Below are 19,947 nucleotides of genomic sequence, written 5' to 3'. Positions count from 1 at the left end.
ACCCAGCCATCCCATTACTGGGTATATACCCAAAGGGTTATAAATCATGCTACTATAAGGACACATGCACACGTATGTTTATTGCGGCACTATTCACAATAGCAAAGACTTGGAACCAACCCAAATGTCCATCAGTGATAGACTGGATTAAGAAAATGTGGCACATATACACCATAGAATACTATGTAGCTACAAAGAAGGATGAGTTCATTTCCTTTCCAGGGACATGGATGAAGCTGGCAACCATCATTCTCAGCAAACTATCACGAGGACAGAAAACCAAACACTACATATTCTCACCCGTAGGTGGGAACTGAACAATGGGATCACTTGGACACAGGGTGGGGAATATCACACTCTGGGGCCTGTCATAGGGTCGGGGGAGGGAGGAGGGATAGCATTAGGAGAAATACCTAATATAAATGAAGAGTTGATGGGTGCAGCACACCAACATGGCACATGTATACCTATGTATCAAACCTGCACGTTGTGCACATGTACCCTAGAACTTAAAGTATAATTTTAAAAATAATAATAAATAAATAAATAAATAAATAATAAATAATAAATAAATAAAATGTTTATATTGGAAAAAAATGAACTAAAATCAACAACTTCAGTTTTCCACCTTAGGAAATTAGAAAAAGAAGAGCAAACTAAACAGAAATTAATACACAAAAAGAAAATAATGTATGATTACACACCAATGAAAGAGAAAAAAGAAAATCAATATTTAATAAAAAAACAAATAAAAAAATGGTTCGTTTAGAAGAACAATAAAATGGATAAACCTCTAGGCAGATTGATCTAGAAAAGAAGACACAATTATCAATATCAGGAATTAGAAAGGAGACATATCTACAGACATTGAAAGATAATAAGGGAATATTTTCAACAAGATTATGCCAAAACATTCTGCAACTTAGATTAAATGGACAAACACTTTGACAGACTCAAAGTGCCAAAGCTCATTCAAGAAAAAAAAGGCATAACCTGAATGTCTTATAACTACTAAGAAATCGATTTTATAGTTAAAAATCTTTCACCAAAAAAATACCACAGGCCCAGATGCTTTGACTGGGGAATCTCACCAAAAATTTAAGGAAGAAATAATAGCAATTCTGTGCCAACTTTTCAAAAAAATTAAAGAGGAGGAAATGCCTCCCAACCCATACTAAGAGGCCAGCATTACTCTAATACCAATACCAGATAAATACTTTAGAAGGAAAAATAAAACATGAACCTGTATCACTCATAAACATAGATGCAAAAATTCGTAACAGATTTTAACAAATCAAATCCAGCAAAATATAAAAAGTGTATTGCTTCATAATCAAATGCAGTTTATCTCAGGAAAGCAAGGTTGGTATAACATTAAAATATCAATCAGTATTAATTCACTATATTGACTAATTTAAGAAACTTATATGATCATCGTAATAGATGCAGAAACAGCATTTGACAAAAATCCAACACCAATTTTTGATAAAAACTTGTAGCAAACTAGGACTAGAAGGGAGTTTCTTCAACCTGATAAAGGGCGTCTACAAAAACCTATAGCTAACATCAGTCTTTTCTATTTATTTTAGAGACAGAGTCTCACTCTACTGCCCAGGCTAGTGTGCAGTGTGGTATGATCATGGCTCACTGCAGCCTCAAATTCCTGGGCTCAAGTGATCCTCCCATCTCAGATTTCTGAGTAGCTAGGACTACAAGTGTGTGCCACCATGCCTGGCTAATTTTTTTTTTTAATAGAAACAGGGTCTCACTATGTTGCCCAGGCTGGTCTTGAGCCCCTGGCCTCAAGAGATTCTCCTGCACTGGTCTCCCAAAGTGCTGGGATTACAGGCTTAAGTCACTTGTGCTCACCCCTAACATCATTCTTAATGGTGAAAAGATCTAAAATCTTTCTTCTAAGATCAGCAGTGAGGCAACAATGTCCATTCTTACCATTCACTTTTGTATGAAGCAAAAGCAAAAAAAAAAAAAAAAAAAAAAAGCATACAAATTGAAAGTGAAGTAAAATAGTCTTTATAAACAACATAGTTGTCTATGTAGAAAATCCTATCACTTCCACCAATGATGTAAACTATTAATAAATGGGTTTTATTGCAGTATAGAAAATCAAAATACAAAATCAATTGTATTCCTCTATAGTAGCAATGAACAAATGGAAACAAAACTATCATTACTAATATTATTAAGAACTATGAAGTACTTACATCATTCAATCAATACAAAAAATGTGAAATTTGTGCACTGAAAACTACAGAACAATTTCTGAGAAAAATGTTAAAAGACCTAAATAAATGGAGAGATGTCAGGTTCATGGATCAGAAGATTCAATATTATTAAGATGTTAATTCTTCCCAAATTGATCTGTAAATTCAATGTAATCCCAATCTAAATCGCAGCAGGCTTTTATAGGAATTAATAAACTGACTCTAAAATTCATATGGTAAAAAAGATCTTGAACAGCAAAATGTAACTTTGAAAAGAATAACAAAGTTGGAGGACCTACTATCTGTTTTCAAAATTATAATGTTACAGTAATCAAAACAGTGTTGAATTGGTATAGACAAACCGATGATGGAACAAACAGAGAACTCAGAAACAGGCCCACACGTATATGAACAACTGATTTTTGACAATTGTACAAAGGTAATTTAGGTGGAGAAAAAAGAGTCTTCTCAAAAAAGGGTTCTAGAACCATTTCTACATGCAAGAAGCTTATATCCAGAATACTAAAATATAAAATAAAAATGCACTACCAAAACTCAATAAGAAAGCAACTCAATTAACTAATGAAGCAAAGATTTCAAGAGAAACTTTTCCAAGAAAACAGGCAGCAAATAAACATAAGAAAAGATTCTCAATATAATTTATCATTAGAAAAATGCAAATTAAAAATCACATTAACACATTTTTACACAACTATTAGGAAGCCTTGAGTTAAAAAGACTGACCATACTAAGTGATGAGGAAGATGGGAAGCAGAAGGAACTATCATAAGCTGCTGGTGGGAATATAAAATGGTATAACCACTTCAGAAAAGAGTTTAGTCATTTTGTAAAAAGGTAAAAATATTCCCACCCTATGTTCCAATCATTTCATTCCCAGGTATGAAATGATTACATTACATCTTTACTCAAGAGTAATGAAATCATGTTAATATTTTACAAAACTGTTCAGATCAGCTTTATTAGTAATAGCCAGAACTAAAAATAAGCCCAATGTCCATCAACAGGTGAATGGATAAATAAACAGTGGAACAGCCATGCTACTTAATGCCTCTCAGCAATAAAAAGATGAACTATTGGTACATTCAACATATATTATCCTGAAATAATTATGCTGAGTAAAAAAGGCTAGACAAAAAGAAGTACATGCTGCATAGTTCTATTTACATAAAATAGTAGAAGCAAAGTAATCAACAGTCACAGAAAGCAGATCAGTGGTTACAGAGGTGCAGGGAGAATTGAAGGGATTAGGAAAGTGGATTATAAAGAGGCATCAGGAAACCTAGGGGTGGCAGGTATGCTCACTATCTCTATCATGGTAACAATTTTATAGGTTTATATAAAACATTAAATTGTACTCTTTAAATATGAGTTTATTCTGTGTCAGTTATACCGCAATAAAGTTGTTTTTTAAAATACAGAATATAGGCTCTCGAAGAACAGAGAACAAATGGTCCATTTTCTCCAACCACATTAAGGTGAATATCTAAAACTTGTATGCTGGAGAGGGTTGTAGTTTTAGCTTAGCAAGCCCATTAACTGACAAAGTAGCCTCTTCCAACGTATTTACCACCATGACAGACATGAAGCTGCCGGTGGAGTAGAAAGAGCATAGGTGTGGAGTTCACAAAGAGACTTGGGTTCAGGTGCTGCCTCTGCAGTTTACTGCTCAGTTCTCACTGTTAACCCCTCAAAGGCAGGGGCTGAGTCCCTACTGCCTAACACAGTGCCTGTAAATGTTTGCTGACCTGGACTTGTATTTCTTCATAAAGCAACTATTTCATGAAGACTCTGTTTGGAAGCAGATAAGCTAAGAATGCTACGGCTAGCTAGCAAGTTGAGGCTCGGTAAAGAAGAGTCTGACTTCAATGTTAGATACAGACTAACCTCATCATAGTTTTCAAACAGAACAACAACAACAAAAATCCCAGAGTCCAGGCTGCACTGCACACCAATTAAAATAGGGTAAAGCCAACATCAATATTTTAAAAACAACCCGCATGTGATTTTAACACACAGTAAACTTTGAGAACCATTAAGCTAGACTCCAAGCCTTTTTAGTATCAATTTTGACCTGATCTCCATTATTCTAGAATTAGCCTCAGAAATAGACTCTGTATTCTTGGGTTCTTGACAATAACTATACTCCCGATATTGGTAAACTCTCATTTATTTTTCCCTTACCCTCTCTGGATGATCATAATGGTGTGTTTCCATTCCTAGAACGGCCACTCAATCCTTTGCTTGTTGGTTTGGTTTGGTGTAAGATTTCTGAGCTATACATGACTCAGATTAACTTTGTCATAGTGGGTGTCAACACGAAGTCATTCTCTCAACAATTGTCTGGTCCCCTGGATTTGTGAAACTGGTCAATATACCCCTCTTGTAAAAATCTTACATATGCTTGAAAAGAGTAATCATTTAGATGTCTTTCTAGCCAGAGAAACTATAATTCATTGACATTCCCTTATAGATCTGTTTTCTTTGATTTAAGTCATTCTAGTTTCTCAACAATTGTCTCCTTATTACGAATATCACTCTAAAGGCCTAAGATAACATTTCTATACTTTGCTCAGTTTTGTTAAAACCAATGAATGATGGCAGAAAATATGAATTCCTCACTTAGAAAAGTCTTGTTATTCACATTCAACATGCTGAAAAAATGATACTTATCCATTATAACCATTATGAGAAGTCATTTTTCTCAAAGTACTCTATACACAGAAAACACTTCCCTCATCCTGATAAAATATTTTGAGGTTACTCCAGCTAGCAACAGTGTCAAGTATCTGTCTGGAACAATGGGACATCAATATCTCACAATCAACTCAATTTTAAGAGATAGAAAAAGCAAATCATATTTTACCCTTATCGAAGCCCCCTTCAGAGCATTTGCTAATTATTAGTCAATCTGTCACTTGTTATTGCTACTTGATAGTATACGGCAGCAGTGCTGCTTCTGAGGCTGCTGTAATTAAAGGTTTGCAAGAGCTTCTATTGCTAAGGCACATACTCCAACTTAAGACAGATGTGATCAGCCTTGTTTTTAACAAGACCGAAATAACTGGAAATCTGTGATTTGGCTAATTGCAGGGTTCCTGAAAGTATCTTAATACAGGAAAAACTTTGGCCATGCTCTGAAAAATATCTTCCTTAACTCTAACTGGTTGGCATTCCCATTCTAAATGCCTCTCCTCTCAAGCTATCACAAACCAGAGAAAGCAACTGCCAGACCATTGAGTAAATAACTGATCTTTAAAAAATACTTAGAGGTATGAACTAAAGTCAAATCAATTCTGTGGCAGAAGGTATTAGCTTAGCATTGCCTTCAGGAGAGTAGACTCTCTGGAGCCAAAGGTTCAAAAATCTGACAGATAGAACTCAGCTCTTAATCGTTTCCGTGGTACATAAATGTGATCAAGACCATATTTCCTCTGGTGCTCATCTCGCCTCCTATCCTAACATCAGAACAAGAAATGGCTTTCAAAGATCTATGCACTTGCTTCATTTAATACTGTCCTTTAGAGCCAATCAAGAGAGGTCCGTGTCCTGCACCCAAGCTTTAGGTAACTCTGCTCTGGCCCCTGTCTAGTTATATCTGAATCCATGAAGTAAGGAGTTTATGGGGCCAAGGAAACATCCCCATCTGACACCTGTTCCCTCAACCAGTTTCTAGGCCACATTCCAGGTATCAGTGACCTCAGAACTTCCTGATCTTATAGCCCCAAGACCATTCCCAGGGCCTGGAGGGCCCTTTCAGGTTCATTCACCTGATAAGAGGGCAGACAACCAGAGTGTGCAACTCTGGCCTGAGAGCAGTGGTTCATGGGAATGTACGTGGAGCTTGGATATGCAGGCTGGGCATGTGCTTGACACCTTTCCAGGTGTAGGATGGAGCTGAGGGTGGGAAGAAAAGGAAGGCAGGCTGTGCAGTGGGACCACCTCTCCCTGCACTGACACACGGAGCCTGGAAATCCAAGGAATCTAGGAATTCTTATGCAATTCTAAACTTTCAGCTCTTCATGTAGAATAGAATATATTTTATTTAAGGTCTGTTAACTTAATATGTAACTTTACATATTTAGACACATAGTATATAAGGCTCCATTTGTACTCTTGCTCCAGGCCCAGTTTCATGCAACCCTTAAAGAAACTAGAGTTTATCCTCTGCTTAGAATTTTCACGGTATTCTATGTCAAATTTCAAATGAGAGAACTGTCTGAAGTTTTGGGAAAGCAACCGACCAACATAAGATTATACATATTTATCTAAAAACCTTTATAAAGTGCATTTGTCATTTAGTTCTCAGTTATTTTCTGTTTTTAAAAATCTTTATGTTAAATACATTTATGCTCTATTTCATGAAATAGGACTGCAAAAGTCTACACATTTGAAAAGTGCGTAAAAGTTTTTCAGAAAAATCAGGCATTTTCCTCACTATACTTCGAGTTGAATTCTCAAAGAAAAAAATTTGATTGTACTAAGGCTTAATGTCACAATGCCTGACAAATTCCTCAATGGCCGATTCAAAACATTATTGTCTGTCAGACATCAGTAAATACAATCAATAAATATCTACTATCACCTACTATATGCCAGATTCTGGACAACCAAAGATGGATAAAACCAGTAGATAAGATGGAACTCAACATTAATTGGAGGAGGTTGACAAGTAAACAAGCGATGACATGTTTGATAGATGTTACGAAATTATTAGCAAAACGCAGGAGGCGCATCAAACCCAATCCTAGAAGGCAGGAAGGTTTCTCAAAGAGATGTCAGCCAAGCTGAGTGCTGAAATTAGCTGAGTAGTTTATGTGGCAAAGAAGGCAATTAAAAATGTCTAGTCGGAAGACTTCTAAACTTCATCAGTGGTATACAGAAAAACAGGCAGAGGGGAACTAATATTTTTTTGACTGCCAGGCACTGTGAAAGTGCTTTGCATATATTAAATAACTGATCTTCAGAGTAATAGGGCAAAAAAGGTTTTACTCAGTCCATTTTATTGAGGAGAAAACACAGTAAGTTGCTCCCAGTCATGGGACCAGAAAGTGGCATACTCTGGATTCAAACCCAATATTCCTCCCATTACTTCAAGGATCACTAAATTGAAAAAACAAATTTTGCCCCATTTGTTCCAGCCAAGAAGCTTAGATTTTCTTTGAGAGAAGCAGAGAGGTATATCAACAAAGTGCACTTTGGTTTTAAAGAGATGTCTCTAATGAGAACGTGCCAGAATGTGACTGGAATGGCAGATGGAGGGGCTGAAACTTGCAGTTGCAATTTCCATGTTCTTGATCAGTGGTTGTTGGTCACTGTTCATGTGCTTTATAGCATATGGCTCTTTCTCTGTCATTTAAGGTCACTCAATATTTTCATTCAAACTGACCCACTTTATCTCAAACCACCAAAAGTAAGGACAATGTGTCTATCCCTGCCTCTTTGAAAGGTCACACATTAGAGACCATATATGTAATCTGACCTTAGACTGGTAGAATTGGTTTCTTTCTTTATAAGTCATCATCTCAGTATAAAAGTATACTTAGTAATAGATGCCAAATTGTCAAAGAACTCACCTTTTGATTAGCGAAATAGGATTAGAAGACTTTTTGTGTGTTGATTTCATAAGGAAATGTATTTTCTGGTAGCCTTATATAATTTGGGGTTATATTTATGGTCCAAATGCTTCCCAGAGGCATTCTTTATCTCCTTTAACTCTGTAGAAGTAGAGACTACAGAGTTTTGAGTAGTTGTTTAACCAAGGTTCATAACTGGGTCTTGGGATGGAGATGTGCTTGTAGGAACGGCTGCTTATGTTCTTTACTCAGTAGCACTGATTTTGGGGAAGATGACTACATTGTAAAATTTAAATGTTTTCAAGGTTAGTTAAGCTGAGTAAGAATATCAATTTACTATAAAAGAAAACTCTTATAGAAATGTTAATCTAAAAATTGGTGGCTCTGTAGTTATTTGTGTGGGAAATGGATTTATACAAAAGCATTAGTCTAGGCCAGGTGCAGTGGCTCACGCCTGTGATCCCAGCACTTTGGGAGACCAAGGAAGGTGGATCATGAGGTCAGGAGTTCGAGACCAGACTGACCAACATGGTAAAACCCCCTGTCTACTAAAAACACAAAAATTAGCCGGGAGTGGTGTGAGGCACCTGTAATCCCAGCTACCTGGGAGGCTGAGGCAGGAGAATCACTTGAACCCGGGAGGTGGAGGTTTCAGTGAGCCGATATCACACTACTGCACTCCACCCTGGATGACAGAGTGAGACTCCATCTCAAAAAAAAAAAAAAAAAAAAAAAGCATTAGTCTATAAATAGTAATTGAACAGTCTTATTGTAAAATCCAATCTTTAATCTGAAAATAGTGGGACAATTAGGTAATATTGGTTTTTATATAAACTAGAGGCTTATCACATGAATAAAGCAAAAAGCCCAATTTCTAACCAATAGCCTCCTTGAAAGGCTACCTACAGGTGGGAGAGAATTTCTTCCAATTCTGAAGAACTTTAGAAGCTGCTAAAGTTATATGCTGAAGAACTTTAGCAATTGCTAATATACATGAGTTGTGTTGAGGCAAAATGCGAGAAGAGGAGGATCCCATACATTCACAAATGGGGTAAGTTCTCCTTCTGTCAAAATACTCTATCACCGGTCAGCTTGTATCATTATCATATGTTACAAATTTTATATATAAGTAAATACCCCAAAGTTCCATTTCAAACCTGGGCACTAAATGTTCCTTTTTGAACTTGCATTTCTTGGCCTCTCTGCAGACCTTTGGTAACATCAGTGACTTCTGTGACGTTTACTCCTTAAATGATCTGGACCATTTAAAACCAAGGCTAACATTCCCGTATCACACATCATGCCCTAAATGAATTATGCTCACTTAGCCAGTATATATTCAAACAATGTGCTCAGGGAATGTAAATCAATAGTAGTCTAAGTAAAACATCACCAGAAGGGTAAAAGTAGAATGCAACAAAGTGATATAAAATCCAAAGGAAATTGTATTAAATTATCTATCACACAGACATCCTCCAGGCATGTCAATAATCCCTAAATCTATCATCTAGGTGACTAGATTATTTAATCAGCCTCTAAATGGTGAATGTTAAGTACACAGTAGGTATTCAATAAATAATTGAGTTGTTTTAGAAGAAAGATAATAATTTGGAATTTTGAAGTAAGCTCTAGTATTTGGGATTTGGTTTGTAATTTTTCCTTAGAAAAGATATGACTGGTACCAAAGCTGGGGAAACAGTCTGCCTCCCTACTGATTGAGCTTATCAGTTTTTTTTAAAATACTTTAGCAACCTAAACTTATGCAATTTGATTTTCCTGTCATTGCTTTCCCTATACTTCCAAAAATGATGCTTTCTTTACTATTTCAAACTCATCATAAAATTGCTAAAAATCTAAAATTCAATTTGCCACATTACTGCTAATTTGAATAATGGCTGAATAAAACACAGGAAACGCTGAAACAGCATTGATTTCTAAAACATTTTGCACTTTCCTCCTCCATCCCTGTAAAGTAAAGCTCGGATGCCACGCACAATTACACAAGAAAATCAAGAAAGCTATTACATTCAGCATTTTGTCATGATCATTGTTACCATGGCAAAAAGTGGGCTTAGTTTAGCACAGCTGCCACAGGCGAGGTCCACTGGCCTTTTGTAAAGCTGAGTAACAATATAATGCCAAATTCTGTAGCTGGTCACTGTTTTTACCCTAGGACAAGGCTATTACCCACAGATGCTACTGTCTCATTCCTTAAGGATCTGAGCCAATGTCATTTTATTATTGTATTCTTACTGTTGGCTGGCATTCCTGTTCTAAGGGGGAAAAAACATGTAGTGTGAACACGGGACTGCAATAATAGAAAAAGCCAAAGTTTGGAAGGTTGTATTGTAAATGACAATAGGGTTGTGCTGGAAATCACACAGATTTGGGAGTGAGAGATAAATGCAGCCCCATGATAACTAGCTCTACAGCACATCATTTTCTCTATCAGCTTAGTTATCTGTAAAATGGGGACAAAAGTAACTTCCCGGACATGTGGTAGATAAACAGTAAAATAAGACCCTCCCACTCCTTTCTTAACGCTGAGATTTCCATGTCTTTGGGAACGTTAATATGAGTTGGTAGGTAAACTATTCTCTATTCTTGGAAGGTGTATTATTTCCATCTTTCATATCATTTGGCTACTTTCCTCAGAGAGCTGAGGATAAATTATTTTAAGGTCTGAGTAAGCATAAATTTCACATCAAAAGGATAAAAGTTCAGTGTCAATACTGTAATATACACCACATCTTATTATCTGTATTTTAAGTGACACCAATATTATTGTAAAATGAATGAAAAATGGAATATATACTAATTTTGACCTTATGCAGAGATTTTTAGTTTTAAAAAATGAAGCAACATTATGAAAGCAGAGAAGTTTAAATTATCTGAAATGAATACATTAATCAAAACTCTGTATTTACTAGAAACAACGGCTACTAGCATTTTTACCAGCTAAACAAAATATTTTTTTCTAATGAGATTTCAGCTGAGTATCGTTTATCTTAAAAGAAAAATAATGAGACCTTACCTATTCCAGTAGCTCCAGAACTGGTCATGCAGGTAGGCGTGGTGGCTACATTCATCACCAAATGAGGCTTTGCTTTCAATCCAGTGAATTATGTGCCCTTCTACAGCTAAGGGACAAAGCATTACTAATATACGGAGAAGGGAGGGGAAGATTGAAAATTCTGAACTCTGTACAGGCCTCTCTATGCTTCACATTAATGAGCACAGGCTTAGCCCTTACCATCATCTATAAATGTAATTACAAAACAACACACTGTATATGTTCATTACAAAGAACATTTATGTGACAATCATATCCCTTTGATTTTCATTATATTCTTCAAAACTCCCTTTCCTAGTTCTCAGACTGCCTGTATAACTCGACAAGTGCCATGTCAAGCAGACCAAAATGAGTCTGGCTTTTCAAGAGATCTATGTTTAAGGAATTTGAAATTTAGAGAAATAAGTTGAAAATGACAACCAAAATATCTTTAGAAAACATGTTTATTTCTCAATATATGCAAAAGATTTTAAGACAGATTTCTTCTGAACCTATTATTTTCTGCTGTTTAAAAGTAACATTTTCCAATTATCCACCCATTTATAATATTATAAAGCTAATATTAACATAAAAAAATTAAAAAATACATCCCTTTTCTCTAAAAACAAATGCATAACAGAGTTAAAGAACTTACCAACTGGTACTTGTAAAATGAAGTCTGGTGTTTTGTCATAACCCTTTGCACGAAGCTGATCTTCATCTACAGGAAGAACAAACACTATTTACTTAAAACACTATTCAATTAACAAGATAGGAATATATTTGTTTTTATTTCTTAAATATGTATAAAAATTACTACTGTAGTCATACATATCTTTCTTATGCATGCAGTGCTGTGTCAGAAATAATGAACTTTCTGAACAACACTGAAGCGTAAATATGCTTCAGATATGCTTCTTTCATTATTTTTCTGCATGTTTTCGTTATTATAAACATCACGAGTTCAAGCTGTCATATACTACCTTTTTTGTAATTGAAAGTACTCAAAATAAGGTAATATACTTACTGATTTAAAATAAAGGCTTTCACCACTGTGAAAATTACAAATGTTATCAGCCAGTATTGAAAATTTATAGTAAAGGGGCAAGCACAGTGGCCTTCACAGTTATGAAAAAATGCCTTCAATAAAGCAATTACGAAAGTTTAGTTTCAATTAGTGAAACTATTCCCACACACAAGAAAGAGACAAGGACAATGAGATCGCCATAAAGAATTAGTTATCCTGCTTAATTCCTTTGGTATGCTATTGTTTCTGACATTTACCTGAGTTTTATAACAATATGTAATTCTGAAAAGCAATTTTAAGGCTTTAAGATTTTTTTTCCTAAGTCTGTTTGATTTCTTAGTCCCCTGTAAATATCAATGATCTATTAGGAAGGAAAGAAGGCAGGAAAACAGGAAGCTTGACAAAGTTGGGAAAAACTAGAAAGGTGATTGTTTAAAAAAAAAAAAAAAAAAAAAAAATCCACCAATATTTTCTAAATGCTGTCCTTGACTTCTAATGGCAGTACAATGTGATTTCTGAAATGGGGAGTTCTCCATTAGATTTTGGAGTGACCTGGTCATTCAATTCCAGACATGGCTTTCTGTCTTCACCCAACCTCAACTAATGGCCCGACCAAGTAACAAGGAAGGCTGTGTGGTCTCTTAACACCTACTGGGCTGTTGACATTGTCATGCATCCCATTCGCCTTCCTGCATCACCTTTGATTAAAATTAATGGCCCATTCCCAGTGTTGGGTAGCTTATTTCCAATCCATTTGTCAGCCCAAGACAGTGGTTTCATGGCCAATGTTCAGAAACTCTGTTTTAGAACACTCTTGTGCACAACTTGAAAGGTCAGCATTTCAAATGTAAATAACCTTTTAATGACAAGACACATATTTAAAGTAGACATTTAAGTTAAATTTTGTTAAAAGTCAATATCCTTAAGCTGTCTAGATTTTGAAGGATTGGTGCCAGTATTCAGAACAATCTCCCCTCCTTGAAATATAAAAAATCTCAAGTTAACTATTGAGATAAAGAAATACAGATTGAAATAATATGACTTTAAAAACAAGAGAATTTGGAAAGTGAGCTGTAGATGAAGAAGATTGGACAAGTTTCTGTTCTGTAACTATACTCTGACCACAATGAGAATATTTAATTAAAATCAACTCCAGTGCCTTAAGCTGATGTTTCCGGTAGCTGATGAACAGTTTTAAAAGCAATGGTGACATTGAAAAAGATAGATTAATATTTCACTAAAACTATCCTAGCTTCATCAACCTTTTCAGATGTTAAAATCTGCTTCAGAAAGAAAAATGATTACGTTTCTGATAACAGTGCAAAACAAAATTTCAAAGGTCACCAAGCAATCCAAATGCACATAAAAATCCCTTTAAAAGACAGATGCTGCACTCCTGTTCACTGCACCAAAATTACTAACATAATATCTACAATTTAAATTGCATGGGTGACTTAATATGAGAATTAACAATCCCAAACCTCAAAACTTAAACACAAAACATCAAGTGTGGCTGGGGATCCTTCCCATCTTTTTGTGGTGAACTTCAACAAACTACAACTGGCTCGCTCTCTCTCTTTCTCTCTCTCACATACACACACCCCTGTCTCTCTTTCTCCCTCCCTCTCACTCTTTCTCTCTCAACATGAAGCTGATTCAGTAATAATTGTAGCCAAAGGATAGCATCTGGAAGTCTTTGTCACCATTGGTGATATTAGACTTCTAGTTTTTATAGTAAAGATGTTATGCCAAACATGTAAAATGCTGTGTATTGGGTATCTTCTTCCTTTAATCTATTTACTAAACTCTGACTGTCCCATCTCCTCTGTTTCAACCTTTGGCTTGCTTCCTTCATCCTAGATCTAAGAAAGGACGAGGTAACAACTTGGCAAAGTTCAGATGAAATGATGGTACCAGGGTAGGAAGCAGCATTTCGAAACAGGTGGCCTTGTTCACTGTTCTAGGCCCCAGGACACTTAATGCCCCCAAAAGATGAATGAGTAAAATACAAGTACACGTTTAACAGTATCCATGTCTTTACAAAGCCTATCCAGACTGACAATAATTTCCTTTCTTAATTTAATTCCCTAATTATCAACAAGGCACAAAGGCACCAACTAGGCTCAAAGTTCAAGGTTTTATTGGAGAACTCTCACTGTTATCTTTCATCCTTGGTCCCAACTGTCTGTTCTACATGTTCATCTGAGGTTCATCTCAATTTTGTAAAAAAGACAGCATCTCTTTCCTTAATACTGATGGGAAAATTTTTCTTTGAAGTCAACCTTTTTTTTTGTTTTTTTTTTTGAGATGAAGTCTTGCTCTGTCGCCCATGTGGGAGTGCAGTGGCGCGATCTCGTCTCACTGCAACCTTCGTCTCTTGGGTTCAAGTGATTCTTCTGCCTCAGCCTTTCAAGTAGCTGGGATTACAGGTGCATGCCACTATGCCTGACTAATTTTTGTATTTTTAGTAGAGACAAGGTTTCCCCATGTTGGCCAAGCTGGTCTTAAACTCCTGACCTCAAATAATCTGCCTGCCTCGGCCTCCCAAAGTGGTGGGATTACAGGCATGAGCCACCATGCCTGGCCTCAAGTATTTTAAATAACACTGGACCTATCCACTCCTTAACATTTTAGTAGAATTCCTCCACAAAACCCAATCTGTGCCTGGTGCCATTGTTGGGTGGGCAACTGTTTTTTCTTTGGCTACTGATCTGTTGATATATATATCTCTTTTATAGTCAGTTTTACAATTTATGTTTTCCTTGAGAATCACACATTTCATACAGGCTCTTATAAAACTGCATATGTTTGAGCCAAGTAGTTACTTATGATTCTTTGAATTTTCTAAGTGGAAACTAGATGTTTAAGTAACATAAACTGTTTCTTCAAGTTTCACTGTTTCTTCAACAGTAATATAAGATGTTTTCTTCAAGAAAAAAATGATAAAGATTAAGAACAAAGTAAAAATAATATTAGTTAGAATGAAAAAAAGGTAATGGCAATAATCTGAAATAGTACTTTTAGTATGACTTCCACAAATGGTTGGGAATCAATATGAAACCAATCTTCAAATCCTTCCTATGTGTCTTATTCAGCAACTACAGTAGATACAAAGTAAGGGTCTTCTGGTTTAAGGTATATATTTAAAAACCCAATATATTTTATAACCATTAAGTTCATTAATGTCATAGTTCAAGTGCTCATTATCAAAATTAATATAGGAATATTATCACTTAAAAGCAGACCTGTTAACCTTCAGATTCACAAAACATAGATTTTTAGATAATGGTTGCCTCAGAAACTTTTCTGAACTAGCAAAATTGTAGAGATTACTAGTCCAACATTCCAATTTATACACAATATAACTGGCCTAGAGAAGTTAAATGACCAAACAAGACCTAGACCTCTCAAATCACTGCAGATACAGGATATGTGCCCATGTCAACCAAGTTGCAGTTGGTCCCAGCAGACCATATACCATTCTTAATTATGCAAATATTTAAATTTGATCAAATGTAATATTTTTAAAGTGGGGAAAAATTTATTTTCATCTTGGAAGATCTTGAAATGTAAGAGAAGAAGACTGCCATCTGTGAGCTATTTAGACAACACCTGCCTGAAAAGGAGATGAACTAGATAGTATCTTGTTTTCTAGCACTTCAATGGTCCTCTCTCCAATTTATCTTAAATAAATCAATAAAACCACATCCAAAGATGATGTTAATTTTTAAAAACAACCCAGGTCTTCATTCATTTTTAAGTTGTCAGGACTGTCTTTAGAGGGCATTTTTTAAAAAGAAATTACAGACGCATAAAGAACATTCTGAAAGTTTAATTTCTCTGGCCTTTGAATTACCCTCTTCTCCAAATGCCCAAAATATCCAAAGCAATTAAGTACTAATTACACAATTTCTTTTCTTAAAATAAAGAGCTGATTTTGAGTCAGCGAACAAAACACATCTGAAACTAGTTAACATATACTTAAGAATCACAGGGGGACATGAGGTCCACCAAGAAAAGGTTTGAGGGCTTTAAATTTGTTTTGTTTTATTAAAAGTTTTACATTTTAAAAGTATAGTCATTTCCATAAAAATCATGCAGAAATCCAGTTCACAACATCTGAAAATGAAAAGTCACATTCTGACAGGGCTTTTATCTATGAACTTGTAAAAAGTTTTCTAAAATGCTAGATTAAAATACACTGTATGATAAGAAGAATATTATTAACACCTAGTGCATCTTTACTAAATTGGGGGAGGGCAAAAAGACATGTATCAATACATATTAAAACTATATTTTTTCTACTCTAGTAACTAATTTTGTTTTATTCTGGTTTTTTTTTTTTCAAAACACTGTATCACTCAATATTTGGAGTTATGACCTTCATTCTCTATATTTTTATGTTCTCTAAGAGTAAGTTTCACAGCCTTTTCTATACAATTTAAGAAGTTTGCAAGGTTTCAGTAATAAATATTATATGTTATGCAAACTGTGTGCAAAGGTACACAGAACAGGCATGCATTTAATGGGGAGACCAATAGCACCGATAAATGAAATCTTTAGAGAACCCAAAACTTCATTATAGCCGTTAGTTTCAACCTCTTCCCCCAAAGCCTCTTATCAAAGCCACTAACAAGGAATACAACTGACTGCTCTGACCTTGTCCTTTGCTTATGTCTTTAGGGGATAATACTAGTGAAAATTGAAGTGCCTTATAGAAAAAAAAGGGGAGGTGAAGAAGCTGGGACAGTGTGGAGAGGCTAGGTAGGCAACTGGTAGCTGTGGAAAGGCAGAGGACACGAATATGAGCAAAGAAAGTAAAATTCTCCTATATTTTATACCAGATCATGCTAAATCCTTTTCGTTGTAGATGAAGGGACAAATCAACATAGTAGAATAAAAAGATACAGGACAGGTTGTAGGGAGGGTAGTAGCTGTGATGCAAGGCCAAAGGACAATTTATTTAATCAAAACAAGTGGATTGGACAGTCACTAGAGCCCTTTCCAATTCCAAGATTCAGAGGAAAGATTGACTGTTAGCCTTTGTCTGCCCTGGTTCTTTTTAGCTGTAGTCACTGATGTTAGAACCTCTTGCTGGGCCAGCTCCATGTGTCGCCGAACCAATCTCAATGGAGAGAGGCATACTAGCAGTTCTGAGACACAAAAAGGATCTCCTACACAGACAGATGTGCACATGGGTGAGTGTGAGCCAGTGCACCCATGCACAGGACCAAAGGATTCAATTCAGCAATCACAGTAACGTGTTTGACCCCCAATGCCTTTGGTTATGGTGAGCAAAACCCTAGCCTGTAGTTAATTTTCTGCAGGGAGAGGGAGATTTTTTATTCTGCTGTCCTGTATGTTATCCTGTCCGGCATTGCTACCCTACTCTCACAATGTGATTCTCATGAGTGGGCAGTAATGTGACCCCAAATCACCCCGCCATAGGGCTGGACACAGACTAGCTGATCAGATCCCTTTCTGATATATATATATCTGATATATATGTATATCATATATATATATATCTGATATATATATATATGATAGATCTATCTGATATATGTATATATCTGATAGATCTATCTGATATATGTATATATCTGATAGATCTATCTGATATATGTATATATCTGATAGATCTATCAGATATATATATCCCTTTCTGATATATATATATCTGATATATATATATATTTGAGACAGGGTCTCACTCTATTGCCCAGGCTGGAGTGCAGAGGTGCCATCATGGCTCACTGCAGCCTTGATCTCCCAGGCTCAAGCAATTCTCCCATCTCAGCCTCCCCAGTAGCTGGGACAACAGGCGTGCACCACCACACCTGGCTGTTTTTTATTTTTTGTAGAGTGGACGTTGGGGGAGTGGCGGGGAGTCTTGCTATGTTGCCCAGTCTGGTCTCAAACTCCTGGGCTCAAGCAATCCTCCCACCTCAGCCTCCCAAAGTGCTGGGATTACAGGTATGAGCCACTGCACCTGGCCCTTTCTGAGATTTGTTATGTGGCAAAAGAGAATCACTGACTTTGCTCTGGGATTATAAACTCTAAGGATTAAACAAACTGGCAATCACCAGCAATCATCTTTGTGACCTTGTGAGCTAAGAATAAAGCCAACACAGAAAAGAGCAGAACCCAAAAAGGACAAAAGATATTAATGATATTGTTTTGCCTTCTGGATCCTATTAAGAGACACAGCAGAAGCAAATCTCTCCTCTGGACTTCCCCAGTGTATATTTAAGCCAATAAATTCTCCTTTTTTGTGTATATAATCTAGTTTGATTGGATTTCTGCCACTTACAACCAAAATAGTTCCAATAAATCATTAGTGACCCAAAAGCAGATGACCCGTGGACATGAGCTAACTACCAAGAGCAGTGGTGAGGGAGGGCCAGGAGCAGGGAGCACACCATCGTAAGTGGTCACAACAACCTTTCTTCAAAGTTCCAGGGAGCTGAATCTCAAATTCAGCCGATAAGAAAACAAACATCCAGAAAGCATTTCATCTTCCAGCAGCATATGCATTTATGGTCCTTTTCTCAGTGCCAGGGAGAAGCATGCACAAGCACATTCAATAAGGGGAGTAAGTAAGAAAGTCTCTCACCATGACAATCTCTTCAGAAAGGGGAGAACAGAGCCCAAATCCCCCACCTCCCACCCTCAATTTCATGTTCCTGTTACTCTAAAAACAGCATCATATTTTTAACCTTCGGATAGACAAGAATTTAAATGGTGGATTCCTTATGAAATACCCAGCCATCTCCATTCCCTTCAGCCTACATAATCGTATGTTCCATTTCTGGTCTCTTACTCTCTGCCACTGACATCTGCGTGTACACACAGTCTTGGTATTCTAAATCTCATCTGCTCCTGCTGCCTGTCCTTCACCTGAAGTCATAATCCCCTGTTTGTCACATCATAATCACCTCCCCAGCAGAGTATTATTGCTTCAGGTGAGGAATAAAGCAGCAGGGGCAGATGAACTCTTAGAAACAAAGATCCTAATTTCTTACGACAAGGGACATCCTTCACTAAGCCTATTTGGCTTTACAGATTATACTCTCTCAGAGTCCCACAGAGTAATACACAAATGCTACACAAGCACCCCTGTAAAATTTGCTGGTTTGTCCAAACATGGGGGCGAGGGTGAGGCAGGGGCACAGCAAATGCCTCCCAGGTGTCACTCAAAATAATTGTTAGCATCTACTAACAGGGAAACATTCACTGGAAAGAATAAAATATCTCCAGAACCATTCTTATTAGGCCAGACTTAACAAGAATTTGCACCAGACAGTGGCTGTGGCAGTCACTAACGGAAGTCCCTCCAACCTGGAGATATGCCAACCCATAAAAGATGGATGGTTTATCTTCAGTCTTTTGTATGCGCTCTTTCATATTTTAGCTAACAGGGCAAACTGTCTTGTTGTCTTTGCATTGTCACTATTTTCTTTTCCTTTCCTGTCTTTTTGTCCAAAGCTGCTAAAAAAAACACACAAAAAAACACAGCAAAATACGGTCTCATTAATCACTTGAGAGATACTAGTTAACATGTCTCTACCAGTAGATGAAATACATTTTCTATTTTGTCTGCTAAGAGTGAACCCTTAGCAGAGGTAATGGGATGATCACAATGCTTATGGTTCAATTTAACGTTGAGGAGTTTTTTGTACAGCTAAGCCTAGGAGTAGGCAGCAAGTTCGTCACACCTTTTGAGACTTTAAATGCTCATATCTATCTATCTATCTATCTATCTATCTATCTATCTATCTATCTATCTATCTACCTACCTATCTATCTATCTATCTACCTACCTACCTACCTACCTATTTTAGTTAGAGACAGGGTCTCACTCTGTCACCCAAGCTGGAATGCAGTGGAATGACCACAGTTCACTGTAAACTTGAACTCAAAGGCTTAAGTGATCCTGCCACTTTGGCCTCCCAAGTAGCTGGTACTACAGGTGCCTACCACCACAAAATTTTAAAAAATTTTGTGTAGAGACAAGATCTCCCTATATTGCCCAGGCTGGTCTTGAATCCT

The 19,947-nt window shown here is 36.5% G+C and overlaps 1 protein-coding gene across 14 annotated transcripts in view; it reads right to left on the bottom strand.

Annotated features, from left to right (window-relative positions):
• The window catches only part of CDIN1 (CDAN1 interacting nuclease 1), a 230,619-nt gene that overhangs the window by 89,433 nt on the left and 121,239 nt on the right, over window positions 1-19,947 (bottom strand). For 12 of the 14 annotated variants that reach the window (XM_047433174.1, NM_001321757.2, NM_001321759.2 and 9 more), the window contains 2 exons: window positions 11,524-11,589; window positions 10,851-10,956 (listed from right to left, as the gene is read on the bottom strand). In XM_047433174.1, coding sequence (XP_047289130.1) covers window positions 10,851-10,956; window positions 11,524-11,589 — 172 coding nt within the window. Of the gene's footprint in view, window positions 1-10,850; window positions 10,975-11,523; window positions 11,590-19,947 lie in introns of all 14 variants that reach the window. The other 2 variants (NM_001321761.2, NM_001321760.2) reach the window with 2 other exon arrangements.

Source organism: Homo sapiens, chromosome 15 (assembly GCF_000001405.40).
Source record: "Homo sapiens chromosome 15, GRCh38.p14 Primary Assembly".
NCBI classification, from domain to species: Eukaryota; Metazoa; Chordata; class Mammalia; order Primates; family Hominidae; genus Homo; species Homo sapiens.
The sequence above is the reverse complement of the archived record's forward strand: the minus strand, read 5'-3'. Positions and strand labels throughout refer to the sequence as shown.